Source organism: Homo sapiens, chromosome 5, assembly GCF_000001405.40.
Source record: "Homo sapiens chromosome 5, GRCh38.p14 Primary Assembly".
NCBI lineage: Eukaryota > Metazoa > Chordata > Mammalia > Primates > Hominidae > Homo > Homo sapiens.
This window is the reverse complement of record NC_000005.10, coordinates 60,858,565-60,878,144: the sequence shown is the minus strand read 5'-3', so window position 1 is coordinate 60,878,144 and position 19,580 is coordinate 60,858,565. Positions and strand designations below refer to the sequence as shown.

The window sequence follows — 19,580 nt, the reverse complement described above, 5'->3', positions numbered from 1 at the left end:
TGACAAAAACCAAATGATTATCTCAATAGATGCAGAAAAGGCGTTTGACAAAATTCAACAACCTTCATGCTAAAAACTCTCAATAAATTAGGTATTGATGGGACGTATCTCAAAATAACAAGAGCTATCTATGACAAACCCACAGCCAATATCATACTGAATGGGCAAAAACTGGAAGCATTCCCTTTGAAAACAGGCACAAGACAGGGATGCCCTCTCTCACCACTCCTATTCAACATAGTGTTGGAAGTTCTGTCCAGGGCAATCAGGCAGGAAAAGGAAATAAAGGGTATTCAGTTAGGAAAAGAGGAAGTCAAATTGTCCCTGTTTGCAGATGACATGACTGTATATCTAGAAAACCCCATTGTCTCAGCCCAAAATCTCCTTAAGCTGATAAGCAACTTCAGCAAAGTCTCAGGATACAAAATCAATGTGCAAAAATCACAAGCATTCTTATACACCAATAACAGACAAACAGCCAAATCACGAGTGAACTTCCATTCACAATTGCTTCAAAGAGATTAAAATACCTAGGAATCCAACTTACAAGGGATGTGAAGGACCTCTTCAAGGAGATCTACAAACCACTGCTCAAGGAAATAAAAGAGGATACAAACAAATGGAAGAACATTCCATGCTCATGGGTAGGAAGAATCAATATTGTGAAAATGGCCATGCTGCCCAAGGTAATTTATAGATTCAATGCCATCCCCATCAAGCTACCAATGACTTTCTTCACAGAATTGGAAAAAACTAAAGTTCATGTGGAACCAAAAAAGAGCCCGCATTGCCAAGTCAATCCTAAGCCAAAAGAACAAAGCTGGAGGCATCACACTACCTGACTTCAAACTATACTACAAGGCTACAGTAACCAAAACAGCACGGTACTGGTACCAAAACAGAGATATAGACCAATGGAACAGAGCAGAGCCCTCAGAAGTAATGCTGCATATCTACAACCATCTGATCTTTGACAAACTTGACAAAAACAAGAAATGGAGAAAGGATTCCCTATTTAGTAAATGGTGCTGGGATAACTGGCTAGCCATACTTAGAAAGCTGAAACTGGATCCCTTCCTTACACCTTATACAAAAATCAATTCAAGATGGATTAAGACTTAAATGTTAGACCTAAAACCATAAAAACCCCAGAAGAAAACCTAGGCATTACCATTCAGGACATAGGCATGGGCAAGGACTTCATGTCTAAAACACCAAAAGCAATGGCAACAAAAGCCAAAATTGACAAATGGGATCTAATTAAACTAAAGAGCTTCTGCACAGCAAAAGAAACTACCATCAGAGTGAACAAGCAACCTACAGAATGGGAGAAAATTTTTGCAATCTACTCATCTAACAAAGGGCTAATATCCAGAACCTACAATGGACTCAAACAAATTTACAAGAAAAAAACAAACAACCCCATCAAAAAGTGGACGAAGGATATGAACAAACACTTCTCAAAAGAAGACATTTATGCAGCCAAAAGACACATGAAAAAATGCTCATCATCACTGGCCATCAGAGAAATGCAAATCAAAACCACAATGAGATACCATCTCACACCAGTTAGAATGGTGATCATTAAAAAGTCAGGGAACAACAGGTGCTGGAGAGGATGTGGAGAAATAGGAACAGTTTTACACTGTTGGTGGGACTGTCAACTAGTTCAACCATTGTGGAAGTCCATGTAGGAATTCCCCAGGTATCTAGAACTAGAAATACCATTTGACCCAGCCATCCCATTACTGGGTATATACCCAAAGGATTATAAAACATGCTGCTATAAAGACACATGCACACGTATGTTTATTGCGGCACTATTCACAACAGGAAAGACTTGGAACCAACCCAAATGTCCATCAGTGATAGACTGGATTAAGAAAATGTGGCACATATATACCATGGAATACTATGCAGCCATAAAAAATGATGAGTTCATGTCCTCTGCAGGGACATGGATGAAGCTGGAAACCATCATTCTCAACAAACTATTGCAAGGACAAAAACCCAAACACCGCCAAGTTCTCACTCATAGGTGGGAATTGAACAGTAAGAACACTTCGACACAGGAAGGGGAACATCACACACCGGGACCTGTTGTGGGGTGGGGGTAGGGGGGAGGGATAGCATTAGGAGATATACCTAATGTTAAATGGGTGCAGCACACCAACATGGCACATGTATACATATGTGACAAACCTGCACGTTGTGCACATGTACCCTAAAACTTACAGTATAATAAAAAAAAGAAAAAATAAATAAATTAAAATATAAAAAATTATCCAGGCGTGGTGGCAGGCGTCTGTAGTCCCAGCTTCTTGGGAGGCTGAGGCAGGACAATGGCGTGAACCCGGGAGGCGGAGCTTGCAGTGAGCGGAGATCGCGCCACTGCACTCCAGCCCGGGCGACAGTGTGAGATTCTGTCTCAAAAGGAAAAAAAAAATTTCTCTAAGTTATAAAAGGCAATAAATCTAAAATAATTTAAGAGTAGTCTTGATGCTAATACAGCATTGGAATTGGAATCTGAATAAAATTGTAGTAGTTGTAAAAGTTGCACAAAAAGAAGCAAACCTGGCTCATAATACCCAATTACTTTAACAATGAGACCATCTTAAAGCCCTTTTAGTTATTTGCATGAGTATCAGAAGTAGCTATTCAGAAGTTTTCCCCAAAATGAACTGATTTGAAATACCACAGATGATTAAAATTTCTGTAGTTGCTAATCACCTTGTTGTTTTAAATAAACATCATCTAGATGCATGTTATCCTTCAGACAAATCCCTGAGGGAAACCTATGTGCTGACTATAAACGTGTTACCATTTCTGACGTATTTTGCATGTTTTACTGAACTGCCCTACCAACCTATAAAAATAAGTAATTAAATATCACTGCTTACAAATAAGTACATAAATATCACTACTTAATAACCCACATTATTTTTGGACTAAAAATGGTATTATTCAGCTTGAATACCTTATTCTCCATATTTGGTATTTGTTTATTTATAAAAGTTATTTTCATCCAAACAATAAAGAGTTGCCACCATTGATATTTTGGGCTGTCAGGTCAGACTGTACACCTGGAGTCCAGTCTTAGCCTATGGATATCAGAGTGCCACTTTCTCCAGGTAATTCCAAAGAGTTGTTGAGAAATACCTTGAGCAATGGCAGCATCATAGTATATGTATGTATGTGTGTATGTATGTATTTGTGAAGTGATTAAAGGAAACAGGGTGTTTGGATAAAGTCTGGTGTTGTCTGTTTCAAATGAAGTTACATTATCTTATATTGTATATGGGTTGTTTCTTATTTTTGTTCTGAAATTAACAGTTATACATTTTCTTCCAAAATAATGTAATTGCTATTTATCTGATATATTTCATAACTTTATTGTGAGCCTAAAATTATGAAGTAGAAAAAACAGAATCTTCCTTTTTCTTTATCTTTTTTTTTTTTAGACTACAACAAAATCACAATTAAATCCGGCCTTTGAAGATGCCTGGAGCAGCAGTGATGAAGAAGGATGAATATCATCTTTAGTACCTTTTTGTCTCTGCTGAAACTTTTTAAATGAGACTGTGTTTTTTTCAACTGTATGGTCTATTCCTGACAGCTAAATTAGCCCTAAATGTGGGTAATATTTTTCCTCATGTTTTAAAATGAGGTTAATATTTGCATAAAATCCTAAAACAGACTTCTGTATAGTTTATTTAGTCAAAATGTGTTCCTTGATCCCAGATGTTGTGGCCTGGGAAAGCCCTCATTGCTACAGTACAAGTAACACAAGTCGTTGTACCTCAGTTGTGACCTTCAGCAGATTTTATGAACTATAAGATGCAGTCTCAGAGGATCAGCAAGTGGAGGCCATCAGTATTGACTTTCTCTTACTTGCTGTACTATCAGCCTGCTCGTTTCCACCTTTAAGAATGATTTTGCCAAGAATGATTATATCAAAAATAGTAGTTGAAATGGTAACATCAAAATTATTTTATTCTTTCTTCTTCATGTATTCACATTTTTCAGTGGTTTCATTTAATTAACCATGCTTTATGTTAAACATTTTGGGGCTCAATGTCTCCTACTATCCAAAATGTGCATCACAGGAGGCTTTTAACTTTGTGAAAATCCCATGTTTGCTTTATTTTATTTTAATGTCAGAAGGCAGTTTGCGCTAATGCTTGAACTCTTTTTCTGTGAAACTCATTAAGGTATGACCAAATCCTGCCTCATTAATTCAAGCAGAAAATATCCTGGCAGGGAATCTGGCTTAAACATGAAATGCTGTAATAAAATTTCTATGTTATTGTCTCCGTCTGTGTCAACCCACACGTGATTATCATGAAGGTAATCTTAATTTTCCCTTCCTGATCCTTACCAGCAGTAGACTAGTAAATGAGGCTTTTATGAGCTTGAATACCAAAAGTAAACAGTTGTTGAGGGTTTTTTGTTTTTTTGTTTTTTTCCTGAGATGGAGTTTCACTCTGTCGCTCAGGCCGGAGTGCAGTGTTTTGATCTCAGCTCACTGCAACCTTCACCTCCCAGGTTCAAGCAATTCTCCTGCCTAAGCCTCCTGAGTAGCTGGGATTACAGGCTCCCGCCACTGCGCCCGGTTAATTTTTTTGTATTTTCAGTAGAGATGGGGTTTCACCATGTTGGCCAGGCTGGTTGCGAACTGCTGACCTCAAATGATCCACCCGCCTCGGCCTCTCAAAGTGCTGGAATTATAAGCTTGAGCCACTGCACCCAGCCAGTTGTTGAGTTTTTAAGTGTATAAGGGTTAGACCTCCTATCAGACCTTTCCAGCTAAATGTTTTCCAAACACTTGCTTTTACAATTGATTTTTTTTTCCAATTGGCAGATAAAATTGTATGTATTTACCATGTACAACATACTGTTTTGAAGCATATATACATTATAGAATGACTAAATCTAGCTAACTGACATATGCCTCACATGGTTACCATTTTGTGGTAAGAACACTTTACATCCATTCTCTTATTTTTCAAAATTAATAGTAATCTTGTAATTGTAACTATAGTTACTATGTTGTGCAATAGGTCTCTTGCACTAATTCCCCCTTTTTAACTGAAATTTTGTATCCTTTGACCAATGTTTCTCCAACAACCCTAGCTCCTGGTAACCACCATTCTACTCTCTACTTCTATGAGATCAGCTGTTTGTGTATATGTACTACATTTTCTTTATCCATTCAACCATTGACAGATGCTTAGGTTGATACCATATCCTGGCTATTGTGAATAATGCTGCAGTGAACCTGGTAGTGCAGATATCTCTTTGACATACTGATTTCATATCCTTTGGATATAAGCCCAGTATTAGGATTGCTGGATCATATGTAGTTCTATTTTTAACTTTTTGCAGAAACTCCATACTGTCTTCCATAATGGCTGTACTAATTTACATTCCTACCAAGAATATGCAAGAATTCCTTTTTCTTCACAATAATGCAAGAAATCCTTTTTCTTCACATCCTTGCCAACACTTGTTATCTTTTGTGTTATTGATAGTAGCCATTCTAACAGGTGTTAGGTGGTATCTCGTTGTTTTAATTTGCATTTCCCTGGTGACTGCTGATGTTGATAATTTTTTCATATATCTGCTGGCCATTTGCATGTCTTCTTTTGAGAACTGTCTTTTCAGGTTCTTTGCCCATTTTTAAATGGGTTGTTTTCCTGCTATTGAGTTCCTTATGTATTTTGGATATTAACCCCCTATCAGATCTATAGTTAATATTTTTTCTCCATTCTGTAGGTTGTCTCTTCACCCTATTAATTGTTTCCTTTGCTGTGCAGAAGCTTTTTAGTTTCATGTAATTTCATTTCTGTACTTGTGCTTTTGTTACTGTGCTTTTGAGATCGTATCCAAAAAAATCATTGCCCAGACCAATGTCATGGAGCATTTTCTCCATGTTTTCTTCTGATAGTTTCAAATCATTGATTTATTAAGCCCAGGCCATTCTACTTTCAATCTTGTCCCCTTGGTGAGGATGCATTTGACCTTTGAAAAAGCTAGTTTGAAAAAGCTATTGGCCGGGCACGGTGGTTGTAATCCTAACACTTTGTGAGCTGAGACAGGCAGATCACTTGAGCTCAGGAGTTCAAGACCAGCCTGGGCAACATGGCAAAACCTCGTCTCTAAATAAAAAATACAAAAATTAACCAAGTGTGTTGTGCACACCTGTAGTCCCAGCTACTTGGGAGACTCAGGCTGGGGAATCACTTGAACCTGTAAAGTCACGGCTGCATTGAGCCAAGATCGTGTCACTACACTCCAGCCTGGGTGACATGGCGAGACCTTGTGTCTCCCAAAAGAAAAAGAAAAGAAAAGCTATTAAAATTGGAAATTTATTTTTAAGAAAAAGGAAGTCTGCTTCCAAACTGCAAGTAACTGTTTTACTTACTTCTAGTTATATAGATATATAGGCTCATTATAAATAATTCAAACAACATAAAAATCTAAAAAGGAAGGTAGTGGTCACCTGGAATTATAATACCATAAGGTAACCACCACTAACATTTTCATGGTCATTCTTCATGAATCTCTTATGATACATATAATTTTACATAATGGGATGTTCAACAAGCTGTTGTTATAAACACCCCTCTCTTTCCACATTAGTACCACATTCCCCAGTCCTTACCCCTGCTGCCACAAACCAAGTTATTAACCTAGACTGTGTTCTTTCATATTGCAATCCTATATATATCTATGCAGACATATAGGGGATGTATTTTTATTTTGCAGAACTGGGATATACAAAGTTTTTAAATTATATTTTGCAGTTACAGCTTATATAAATCCCTCTCTGTCATTTGTTATAACAAAGTTATTCTTTTTGTTAACTGCATCATACTGCATTTTGTGAATGTCCCCCAGTTGTTTTCAGCTGGTCCCCTGTTCAAGGCTACATGTTTATTAGTGAAGACTTGGAACTGTACTATATTTTTCTTGGTATATTTTGGTGTACAATTTGTACAATTTAGTTGTTGAATATCATCTTTTTTTTCCCCTCTGAAATGATAGTTTAGCTGGGTATACGATTTTTGGGTTGTAGTCCTTTTGTTTTGTTGGTCTATAGATATTGTGCCCACTTTTTTCTAGCTTCTGGTATTGCAGTTGAGAATTCCAAAGCCACTTTGGTTTTTTTTCCCTTTGTAGGGAATTCATTCGTTACAGCTGGAAGCTTGTAAACTGAGGTTTAAAAGAAAAAAGTAAAAACTTACAGTTTCTTAATCTCGTCAAGAAATCTGATGTCTTTTTTTATTCTCTTCCGTCACTTCTTAGACTTCTTGGGAGCTCTTTCAATGAAGGTCCAAACCTTTTCTCAGCTCAGGTATATTTTCTTCTAATATTTGTCTAATTGTTGCTTCTCCTTTTTCCTTCTTCTTTTTTGGATTATCTAAAAATTGCATGTAACTGACCTCTCTATGTTTCTTCCTTTCTTCCCTTTTTTTTTTTTGAGACAAAATCTCATTCTGTCACCCAGACTAGAGGGCAGTGGCGCCATCTCAGCTCACTGCAACCTCCGCTTCCCAGGTTCAAGCAATTTTCCTGCCTCAGCCTCCCAAGCAGCTGGGATTACAGGTGCCCACCACCACGCCTGGCTAATTTTTTTTTTTTTTTTTTTTTTTTTTTTTTAGCAGAGGTGGGGTTTCACCATGTTGGCCAGGCTGGTCTTGAACTCCTGGGCTCTAGTGATCCACCAGCCTCGGCCTCCCAAAGTGCTGGGATTTACAGGCGTGAGCCACCGTGCCGGGCCTGACTTCGACTTCTCTTTCATTGTCTTATCTTTTCGTTTCTCCTTGCCCTTTTTGTTTTGTTTTGTTTCAATTCTTAGAACTGTAGTTGGCATGTAGTAGGTGCTTAATAATTACTTGTTTTGTTGTTTCTGTCCTATACTTTGAGAGTTTGTGTTTGATATTCAAGGTTACTAATTCAGGCCTGACTGTGATAATTAGGGGAGACTTTTGATTATTGTTTTATTCCCCTCCCCACCCTAAACCCTTGTTTTGTTTTGTTTTGTTTTGTTAAGCACTTGCAAAAATATAGTGGAGAAATATGGGAGGCTTCCACTTGAAACTTTTTAATAATTGTTTATTCAACTGGTATTTGTCAACCCTTATTCACATTGTATATCAATGAATCTATTATGAAGGCAGCGATCATGTATAACTTCTCTCCAGTGCCTTGTACATTTTATATGTTTTCCTTTCACGCTGTCTTGGCTGTCCTTTCGTCACCTAAGGTACTTATATTCTGCCATATTTCAAAGAATACTTAGGCCATTTGTTCACTTCACTTTGATTCCATTTTTAACTAGTCATTATGGTACACCTATGAAATGCCTAGTTTTAAAAAAATATGTAGAAATAATAAATGCACATTTTATTAACATAGCCATAAATCTATTTTTAACCAGAAGCCTAAAAAATCACATCGTAGATCAGCTTGACCTCTCTTTTAAACTTGCTACCATGCCTTTACTTTAGAATTAAGGGAACACCTTAATAGAGAAAAAAAGTTATCCCATGAACTGAAGTGTTCCTTGTGTCCAGTTTATACTAAAAAGCCCCATTTAAAATAGATTTTAAAACCTTTAAAAAATTCTCTAAAGACAAAACCTTAAACTGTACCAATTATAATAATAGATAAAGTAATTTCAAAACGAAGCTCTTCAGTAAGAGACACATAGGTTTGTAGAGCTCAGTATTGGTGAGAGACACACCATTAGCTTTATTATTTAAAATCGAAATGAGACAGTGGTAGAAAAATATTGCATCAGCAAACTAATCTCAATTATTTTTCAAAGCAAAATCACTATTTCACAATGGAAAGGAAAACCTCAAATTAGGTACTTAAATAAGGGCTACACAGTTTTCATTCAGAAATATTTCATTACTGTTGAGTAATATACTAATACTTTGTTATTTCTATAAAAATGATATAACTACTGAAGACTAGAGAAGCTAAAGACGTTTCTGTGAATTCTATAATTTTTATAAACAAATACTTTGGTAAATTTCCATTTTTTTAATTTAATGTTTTCCATGTTCAGGTGCTAATTATTGAGCCCGAACTAAAAAACTTATCACTAAAGCAGTAAACTTAAAATCACTCTAACTATGCCAGAAATGGAATGGCAAGCCTAGCACAATTAGAATATTGCCTGTCGAAAAATATAGCAGGGAAAGCTAATTACAGAAAGGAAAACAATCACTTTGCTTTCTATTGTAATGAATTTCTGGACATCGGAAGGTTAAATCTAGGGCTCAGGATAGTGCTAGTTCTTCTGTTTTAATTCTGGAAAAGTATTAAATTCAGGGAAGAAAACTAACGAAGTTTAATCATAAACATTTTTTCTTCTTTGCAAAGAATATGTGTGTAGTTCTTAATGTGCTACCTAGAATCACTGTTGTAAACCTCCTGGGTGCTTAGAATTATTACAAATCATTTATTATAATACAAATTTTTCTATCTTGCTAGCTCTATCAGCAACATCCTCAGATACAGAAGGCATACTTCTTTTGCTGCCATGTGGCTTCTTGTTTTTTGTTTTTATTAAAAGTAATCACAAAAACTGCAATTACTTTTGCACCAACCTAATAATTAGACAATTAAAATTTCAAAGGAAGGGGGTAAAATTAAAGAACTATGTTGCGACCTCTCTTAGTTCTCTGTGTGTAGGACTTTTCAGGTGCCCAATGTCCTCTTGACTGACCACTCCTCATGAAGATACTGGTAAACTTTGTGCTAGTGGATTGATAACCGCTCTCCGAGTTCATGCTCTTCTGAGGTCTAGAAAGAAATGGGTGTCTCTGTCCCAACCTGGTTAGTTATTCTGTCTCTAAAAACACAATTAAGTCAATGTTAAGACTAAGTTCATTAAGCTGCTCGTGTTTTTATGCCTTGACAGTTTGTTAATGGTGGTTGCATAAGTTTTACAGAACTAGTTTCGTCTTGTTGCCCAGGCTGGAGGGCAATGGTGTGACCTCAGCTCACCGCAACCTCCGCCTCCTGGGTTCAAGCGATTCTCCTGCCTCAGCCTCCCAAGTAGCTGGGATTACAGGCATGCGCCACCATGCCTGGCTTATTTTGTATTTTTAGTAGAGACAGGGTTTCTCCATGTTGGTCTGGCTGGTCTCGAACTCCTGACCTCAGGTGATCTGCCCGCCTTGACCTCCCAAAGTGCAGGGATTACAGGCATGAGCCACCGCGGCCAGCCTGTAGTCAGCTCTTTAAGGCAACAATTTATTGGCTCAGGTGACTGGCACAAGCCAGTTTTCTTTTGTTCATTTCATCCATTGTGGCAAGGATTAGCAACAGTACTAAATGAGAGCTTGTCAACACCTTCTGTAAAAACACCACCAGGAGCAGGAGAGCTGCTTCTCCCATGTGGCTCAAACACTTAATTCCAGCTTCTCTACACCCTGCATGATGGTATCATCCACTATTGTGTAAATCTGTATATTTTCTAAATAAATACACTGTTCAAACTTATGCTAAAACAAAGAACATTCCTAATAAGTCTTTGAGAACTGAGTTATTAACTTTTATTGTAATATTCTAATGGTTTCTTACATATATATGCAAAATTCAGAGTATTATGGAAAAAGTTATTAGAATAACTCAGTGATGATCACTATGGACATTAAAGAATGGTAAGATTATTTTTTTCATTGTAATGGCTTTATAAAGAAATAAGGCCAGGCGCAGTGGCTCACACCTGTAAACCCAGCACTTTGGGCATCAGAGGCAGGAGAATGGCCTGAACCCTGAAGGCGGAGGTTGCAGTGAGCCGAGATCGCCCCACTGCACTCCACCCTGAGTGACAGAGCAAGACTCTGTCTCAAAAAAATGAAAAGAAAAAGAAATAACAGTGGACTGGAAATCAAAAGTCCTGAGTCTGTCTTAGGTCACTACCAAGGAAACATATACATTTGGATATTTTTTTTCCTTCTTTTTTCATTGGTTAAAAATGAAGGAAGGGCTGGGCATGGTGGCTCACGCCTATAATCCCAGCACTTTGGGAGGCTGAGGTGGATGGATCACGAGGTCAGGAGATCGAGACCATCCTGGCTAACATGGTGAAACCCCGTCTTTACTAAAAATACAAAAAAAAAATTAGGCGGGCACTTGTAGTCCCAGCTATTTGGGAGGCTGAGGCAGGAGAATGGCGTGAACCCCGGAGGCAGCGCTTGCAGTAAGCCGAGATTGCGCCACTGCACTCCGGCCTGGACAAGAGAGCGAGACTCCATCTCAAAAAAAAAAGGAAGGGGACAGAAAACTGGAATAGAAAATTATTAAGGTTCATTCCTGCTCTAAAATCACAAATCATCATATTTTCTAAAGCATTTAAAAATGGTATGCATAAATAATTAGAGGCTTAGGTTCTAAACTAATTATAATTAAAGTTCATTGAAGGCAGAGGTAGAGTGTCATTATAAAAGTTTTATGAATTGTCTTAATACTGAGTGAACACTCAAATTCTAATGGAATGAATTTTGCCTGAATTACACTTTTAAAGCAAAGTTTCCATGTGAATTATTATGGAGCCATCATTGATTACCTATTTGATTTTGCAAGTTTATTCATTTGTAGAACGGGAATAAAATACACCTTACAAAGTTGTAAGAATAAATGAAATAAAGTTCTGAAATATAAGAATCACTCAGCCAATAGAACTTTTTTTTTTTAATACTTTAAGTTTCAGGGTACATGTGCACAATGTGCAGGTTAATTACATATGTATACATGTGCCATGCTGGTGCGCTGCACCCACTAACTCGTCATCTAGCATTAGGTATCTCTCCCAATGCTATCCCTCCCCCCTCCCCCCACCCCACAACAGTTTCCAGAGTGTGATGCTCCCCTTCCTATGTCCATGTGTTCTCATTGTTCAATTCCCACCTATGAGTGAGAAGATGCGGTGTTTGGTTTTTTGTTCTTGCGATAGTTTACTGAGAATGATGATTTCCAATTTCATCCATGTCCCTACAAAGGACATGAACTCATCATTTTTTATGGCTGCATAGTATTCCATGGTGTATATGTGCCACATTTTCTTAATCCAGTCTATCATTGATGGATATTTGGGTTGGTTCCAAGTCTTTCCTGTTGTGAATAATGCCGCAGTAAACATACGTGTGCATGTGTCTTTATAGCAGCCTGATTTATAGTCCTTTGGGTATATACCCAGTAATGGGATGGCTGGGTCAAATGGTATTCTAGTTCTAGATCCCTGAGGAATCGCCACACTGACTTCCACAATGGTTGAACTAGTTGACAGTCCCACCAACAGTGTAAAACTGTTCCTATTTCTCCACATCCTCTCCAGCACCTGTTGTTTCCTGACTTTTCAATGATTGCCATTGTAACTGGTGTAAGATGGTATCTCATTGTGGTTTTGATTTGCATTTCTCTGATGGCCAGTGATGATGAGCATTTTTTCATGTGTCTTTTGGCTGCATAAATGTCTTCTTTTGAGAAGTGTCTGTTCATATCCTTCGTCCACTTTTTGATGGGGTTGTTTGTTTTTTTCTTGTAAATTTGTTTGAGTTCATTGTAGATTCTGGATATTAGCCCTTTCTTAGATGAGTAGGTTGCGAAAATTTTCTACCATTTTGTAGGTTGCCTGTTCACTCTGATGGTAGTTTCTTTTGCTGTGCAGAAGCTCTTTAGTTTAGTTAGATCCCATTTGTCAATTTTGGCTTTGGTTGCCATTGCTTTTGGTGTTTTAGACATGAAGTCCTTGCCCATGCCTATGTCCTGAATGGTAATGCCTAGGTTTTCTTCTGGGGTTTTTATGGTTTTAGGTCTAACATTTAAGTCTTAATCCATCTTGAATTGATTTTTGTATAAGGTGTAAGGAAGGGATCCAGTTTCAGCTTTCTAAGTATGGCTTTCCAGTTTTCCCAGCACCATTTATTAAATAAGGAATCCTTTCCCCATTGCTTGTTTTTCTCAGGTTTGTCAACGATCAGATACTTGTAGATATGCGGCATTATTTCTGAGGGCTCTGTTCTGTACCATTGATCTATATCTCTGTTTTGGTACTGGTACCATACTGTTTTGGTTACTGTAGCCTTGTAGTATAGTTTGAAGTCAGGTAGTGTGATGCCTCCAGCTTTGTTCTTTTGGCTTAGGATTGACTTGGTGATGCGGGCTCTTTTTTGGTTCCATATGAACTTTAAAGTAGTTTTTTCCAATTCTGTGAAGAAAGTCATTGGTAGCTTGACGGGGATGGCATTGAATCTGTAAATTACCTTGGGCAGTATGGCCATTTTCACGATATTGATTCTTCCTACCTATGAGCATGGAATACTCTTCCATTTGTTTGTATCCTCTTTTATTTCCTTGAGCAGTGGTTTGTAGTTCTCCTTGAAGAGGTCCTTCACATCCCTTGTAAGTTGGATTCCTAGGTATTTTATTCTCTTTGAAGCAATTGTGAATGGGAGTTCACTCATGATATGGCTCTCTGTTTGTCTGTTGTTGGTGTATAGGAATGCTTGTGATTTTTGCACATTGATTTTGTATCCTGAGACTTTGCTGAAGTTGCTTATCAGCTTAAGGAGATTTTGGGCTGAGACAATGGGGTTTTCTAGATATACAATCATGTCATCTGCAAACAGGGACAATTTGACTTCCTGTTTTCCTAATTGAATACCCTTTATTTCCTTCTCCTGCCTAATTGCCCTGGCCAGAACTTCCAACACTATGTTGACTAGGAGTGGTGAGAGAAGGCATCCCTGTCTTGTGCCAGTTTTCAAAGGGAATGCTTCCAGTTTTTGCCCATTCAGTATGATATTGGCTGTGGGTTTGTCATAGATAGCTCTTGTTATTTTGAGATACGTCCCATCAATACCAAATTTACTGAGAGTTTTTAGCATGAAGGTTGTTGAATTTTGTCAAACGCCTTTTCTGCATCTATTGAGATAATCATGTGGTTTTTGTCTTTGGTTCTGTTTATGTGCTGGATTACATTTATTGATTTGCCTATATTGATGGATTACATGTATTGATTTGCCTATATTGAACCAGCCTTGCATCCCAGGGATGAAGCCCACTTGATCATGGTGGATAAGCTTTTTGATGTGCTGCTGGATTTGGTTTGCCAGTATTTTATTGAGGATTTTTGCATCAATGTTCATCAAGGATATTGGTCTAAAATTCTCTTTTTTGGTTGTGTCTCTGCCCGGCTTTGGTATCAGGATGATGCTGGCCTCATAAAATGAATTAGGGAGGATTCCCTCTTTTTCTATTGATTGGAATAGTTTCAGAAGGAATGGTACCAGTTCCTCCTTGTACCTCTGGTAGAATTCGGCTGTGAATCCATCTGGTCCTGGACTCTTTTTGATTGGTAAGCTATTGATTGTTGCCACAATTTCAGATCCTGTTTTTGGTCTATTCAGAGATTCAACTGCTTCCCGGTTTAGTCTTGGGAGAGTGTGTGTGTCGAGGAATTTATCCATTTCTTCTAGATTTTCTAGTTTATTTGCGTAGAGATGTTTGTAGTATTCTCTGATGGTAGTTTGTATTTCTGTGGGATCGGTGGTGATATCCCCTTTAACATTTTTTATTGCGTCTATTTGATTCTTCTTTTTTTCTTTATTAGTCTTGCTAGCGGTCTATCAATTTTGTTGATCCTTTCAAAAAACCAGCTCCTGGATTCATTAATTTTTTGAAGGGTTTTTTTGTGTCTCTATTTCCTTCAGTTCTGCTCTGATTTTAGTTATTTCTTGCCTTCTTCTAGCTTTTGAATGTGTTTGCTCTTGCTTTTCTAGTTCTTTTAATTGTGATGTTAGGGTGTCGATTTTGGATATTTCCTGCTTTCTCTTCTGGGCATTTAGTGCTATAAATTTCCCTCTACACACTGCTTTGAATGCGTCCCAGAGATTCTGGTATGTTGTGTCTTTGTTCTCATTGGTTTCAAAGAACATCTTTATTTCTGCCTTCATTTCGTTATGTACCCAGTAGTCATTCAGGAGCAGGTTGTTCAGTTTCCATGTAGTTGAGTGGTTTTGAGTGAGATTCTTAATCCTGAGTTCTAATTTGATTGCACTGTGGTCTGAGAGATAGTTTGTTATAATTTCTGTTCTTTTACATTTGCTGAGGACAGCTTTACTTCCAACTATGTGGTCAATTTTGGAATAGGTGTGGTGTGGTGCTGAAAAAAAGTATATTCTGTTGATTTGGGGTGGAGAGTTCTGTAGATGTCTATTAGGTCCACTTGGTGCAGAGCTGAGTTCAATTCCTGGGTATCCTTGTTGACTTTCTGTCTCGATCTGTCTAATGTTGACAGTGGGGTGTTAAATTCTCCCATTATTAATGTGTGGGAGTCTAAGTCTCTTTGTAGGTCACTCAGGACTTGCTTTATGAATCTGGGTGCTTCTGTATTGGGTGCATGTATATTTAGGATAGTTAGCTCTTCTTGTTGAATTGATCCCTTTACCATTATGTAATGGCCTTCTTTGTCTCTTTTGATCTTTGTTGGTTTAAAGTCTGTTTTATCAGAGACTAGGATTGCAACCCCTGCCTTTTTTTGTTTTTCATTTGCTTGGTAGATCTTCCTCCATCCTTTTATTTTGAGCCTATGTGTGTCTCTGCATGTGAGATGGGTTTCCTGAATACAGCACACTGATGGGTCTTCACTCTTTATCCAATTTGCCAGTCTGTGTCTTTTAATTGGTGCATTTAATCCATTTACATTTAAAGTTAATATTGTTATGTGTGAATTTGATCCTGTCATTATGATGTTAGCTGGTTATTTTGCTCATTAGTTGATGCAGTTTCTTCCTAGTCTCAATGGTCTTTACATTTTGGCATGATTTTGCAGTGGCTGGTACTGTTTGTTCCTTTCCATGTTTAGTGCTTCCTTCAGGAGCTCTTTTAGGGCAGGCCTGGTGGTGACAAAATCTCTCAGCATTTGCTTGTCTGTAAAGTATTTTATTTCTCCTTCACTTATGAAGCTTAGTTTGGCTGGATATGAAATTCTGGGTTGAAAATTCTTTTCTTTAAGAATGTTGAATATTGGCCCCCACTCTCTTCTGGCTTGTAGGGTTTCTGCCAAGAGATCCGCTGTTAGTCTGATGAGCTTCCCTTTGAGGGTAACCCGACCTTTCTCTCTGGCTGCCCTTAATATTTTTTCCTTCATTTCAACTTTGGTGAATCTGACAATTATGTGTCTTGGAGTTGCTCTTCTCGAGGAGTATCTTTGTGGCGTTCTCTGTTTTTCCTGAATCTGAATGTTGGCCTGCCTTGCTAGATTGGGGAAGTTCTCCTGGATAATATCCTGTAGAGTGTTTTCCAACTTGGTTCCATTCTCCCCGTCACTTTAAGGTACACCAATCAGACGCAGATTTGGTCTTTTCACATAGTCCCATATTTCTCAGAGGCTTTGTTCATTTCTTTTTATTATTTTTTCTCTAAACTTCCCTTCTCGCTTCATTTCACTCATTTCATCTTCCATCGCTGATACCCTTTCTTCCAGTTGATTGCATTGGCTCCTGAGGCTTCTGCATTCTTCACATAGTTCTTGAGCCTTGGTTCTCAGCTCCATCAGCTCCTTTAAGCACTTCTCTATATTCGTTATTCTAGTTATACATTCTTCTAAATTTTTTTCAAAGTTTTCAACTTCTTTGCCTTTGGTTTGAATGTCCTCCCATTGCTCAGAGTAATTTGATCGTCTGAAGCCTTCTTCTCTCAGCTCGTCAAAGTCATTCTCCGTCCAGCTTTGTTCCGTTGCTGGTGAGGAACTGTGTTCCTTTGGAGGAGGAGAGGCACTCTGCTTTTTAGAGTTTCCAGTTTTTCTGCTCTGTTTTTTCCCCATCTTTGTGGTTTTATCTACTTTTGGTCTTTGATGATGGTGATGTACAGATGGGTTTTTGGTGTGGATGTCCTTTCTGGTTGTTAGTTTTCCTTCTAACAGACAGGACCCTCAGCTGCAGGTCTGTCGGAGTACCCAGCCATGTGAGGTGTCAGTGTGCCCCTGCTGGGGGGTGCCTCCCAGTTAGGCTGCTCGGGGGTCAGGGGTCAGGGACCCACTTGAAGAGGCAGTCTGCCCGTTCTCAGATCTCCCGCTGGGTGCTGGGAGAACCACTGCTCTCTTCAAAGTTGTCAGACAGGGACATTTAAGTCTGCAGAGGTTACTGCTGTCTTTTTGTTTGTCTGTGCCCTGCCCCATAGGTGGAGCCTACAGAGGCAGGCAGGCCTCCTTGAGCTGTGGTGGGCTCCACCCAGTTCGAGCTTCCCAGCTGCTTTGTTTACCTAAGCAAGCCTGGGCAATGGCGGGCGCCCCTCCCCCAGCCTCACTGCCGCCTTGGAGTTTGATCTCAGACTGTTGTGCTAGCCATCAGCGAGACTCCACGGGCGTAGGACCCTCCGAGCCAGGTGCAGGATATAATCTCCTGGTGTGCCGTTTTTTAAGCCCGTCGGAAAAGCGCAGTATTCGGGTGGGAGTGACCCAATTTTCCAGGTGCCGTCTGTCACCCCTTTCTTTGACTAGGAAAGGGAACTTCCTGACCCCGTGTACTTCCCGAGTGAGGCAATGCCTCGCCCTGCTTCGGCTCGTGCACGGTGTGCACACCCACTGACCTGCGCCCACTGTCTGGCACTCCCTAGTGAGATGAACCCGGTACCTCAGATGGAAATGCAGAAATCACCCATCTTCTGTGTCGCTCACGCTGGGAGCTGTAGACCGGAGCTGTTCCTATTCGGCCATCTTGGCTCCTCTCTCCTTTTTTTTTTTTTTTTGAGACGGAGTCTTGCTCTGTCGCCCAGGCTGGAGTGCAGTGGCACGATCTCGGCTCACTGCAAGCTCCACCTCCCAGGTTCACGCCATTCTCCTGCCTCAGCCTCCCAAGTAGCTGGGACCACAGGTGCCTGCCAGCATGCCAGGCTAATTTTTTGTATTTTTAGTACAGATGGGGTTTCACCATGTTAGCCAGGATGGTCTCGATCTCCTGACCTTGTGTTCCGCCCATCTCGGCCTCCCAAAGTGCTGGGATTACAGGCATAAGCCACCACACCCAGCCAATAGAACTCTTTTTACTTAAAAATCTCAGGATTTTTGGGATCTGAGCTCTTGTCAAAATTCACTCAAATTTCACCTTTTCCAGGACATGATCTGCTTATTTAGTCTTTTCTCTCCCTTCTAAAATGTATACCCCATAAGGGCAGAGATTTTTGTTCTCACTGCTCTCCAGCATCTGGAACACTGCTTGGCAGATACTTGATGCCAAAAAATATATATATTTTTTAATTAATTAGTGAACAACACAATTACCAAGCACTTAACTACGAACCAACAGTTCTACTTCACAATTCACAAATGATTCAGTTCTTAATTATTATTTCTGTAATTTATGATGTATGAATTTTTTAAGTGTTATTAAATACTAGTTGATAAGCTGGATATCACATTAATCTTGTAGTTTTTCTTCTCACAGTATGGCAGAGGGTCCTATTCTCAAAGGTGCTATTGGCCTGTACTCCCAGCATAGATCCTCCCTGCATCTTTCTAGTGGGCTCTGTGGGGCTTAGTAATTTTCTCCCGTAGACAGGCTATATTGAGACTTGCCTTGTGACTCTCAACAGCTAAACAAAAGTAAAAGAACTTTAGGAAATCTTGAGTTCAGATTTTTTATAAGATCTTCACTTCTAGTCTGTTCCCATTTGGTAATATTATGGTTGAACTGAATTTCTCCATTGCCCTTGACTCTAAAGTTCTGGACTTTCTGCTCTTGTTTTCCTCCATTATGGAAAAATGACAAATCATTCTGAAAAGTCTATATGTTTCAGGTCACTGCTTTGTACCCAGAAAAAAATACAGGATAGGTAAGATGAAGGCTCACAGTCTCAAATCCTCACAAAGGGCATGGTAAATTAATGAAGGAGTCGGCGTAGCAAATGTAAGAATTATATTTTTTATTTGTATTGTACTGTGGTATAAGCATGTAACATAACTATATTGGAGATTTAATTTTCTGATGTAAAATTCAAATATCCAATTAAAAATAGGTATTTTGATTATATTTTTCTTCTATAAATATTTTTGCCTTGAACCAGAGAAATGTGACAGTTTCTCCTGCCCTATTTGGGATCAATATTTTATTCAAATAAATAAAAAAGTTTTTCACAGATACAGTTTTTCTAAAATAGATTTCCTTGCTCAGTTTTGTTTTTTGTGGTTTTTTTTTTTATATATACATTTAAAATATCCACCTGGGCCGGGCATGGTGGTTTCACGCCTGTAATCCCAGCACTTTGGGAGGCCGAGGCAGGTGGATCACCTGAGCTCAGGAGTTCGAGACCAGTCTGGCCAACATGGTGAAACTCCATCTCTACTAAAAATAAAAAAATGTTTTAAAAATTAGCTGGGCATGGTGGCACACACCTTTAGTCCCAGCTACTCAGAGGCTGAGGCAGGAGAATCACTTGAACCCAGAATGCGGAGGTTGTAATGAGCTGAGATTGCACCACTGACTCCAGCCAGGGCAACAGAGCAAGACTCCATCTAAAAAAAAAAAAAAAAGAAAAAGAAAAAGAAAAAAGGCAAACCG

The 19,580-nt window shown here is 38.9% G+C and overlaps 1 protein-coding gene across 3 annotated transcripts in view; it reads left to right on the top strand.

Moving 5' to 3' along the window:
• The window catches only part of ERCC8 (ERCC excision repair 8, CSA ubiquitin ligase complex subunit), a 78,617-nt gene extending 66,926 nt beyond the window's left edge, over positions 1-11,691 (top strand). For all 3 annotated transcript variants that reach the window (NM_001290285.2, NM_000082.4, NM_001007233.3), the window contains one exon: positions 3,462-11,691. In NM_001290285.2, the coding sequence (NP_001277214.1) occupies positions 3,462-3,530 (69 nt within the window). In that variant the 3' untranslated portion in view covers positions 3,531-11,691. The remainder of the gene's footprint in view (positions 1-3,461) is intronic.
• Positions 11,692-19,580: the final 7,889 nt, after the last annotated feature.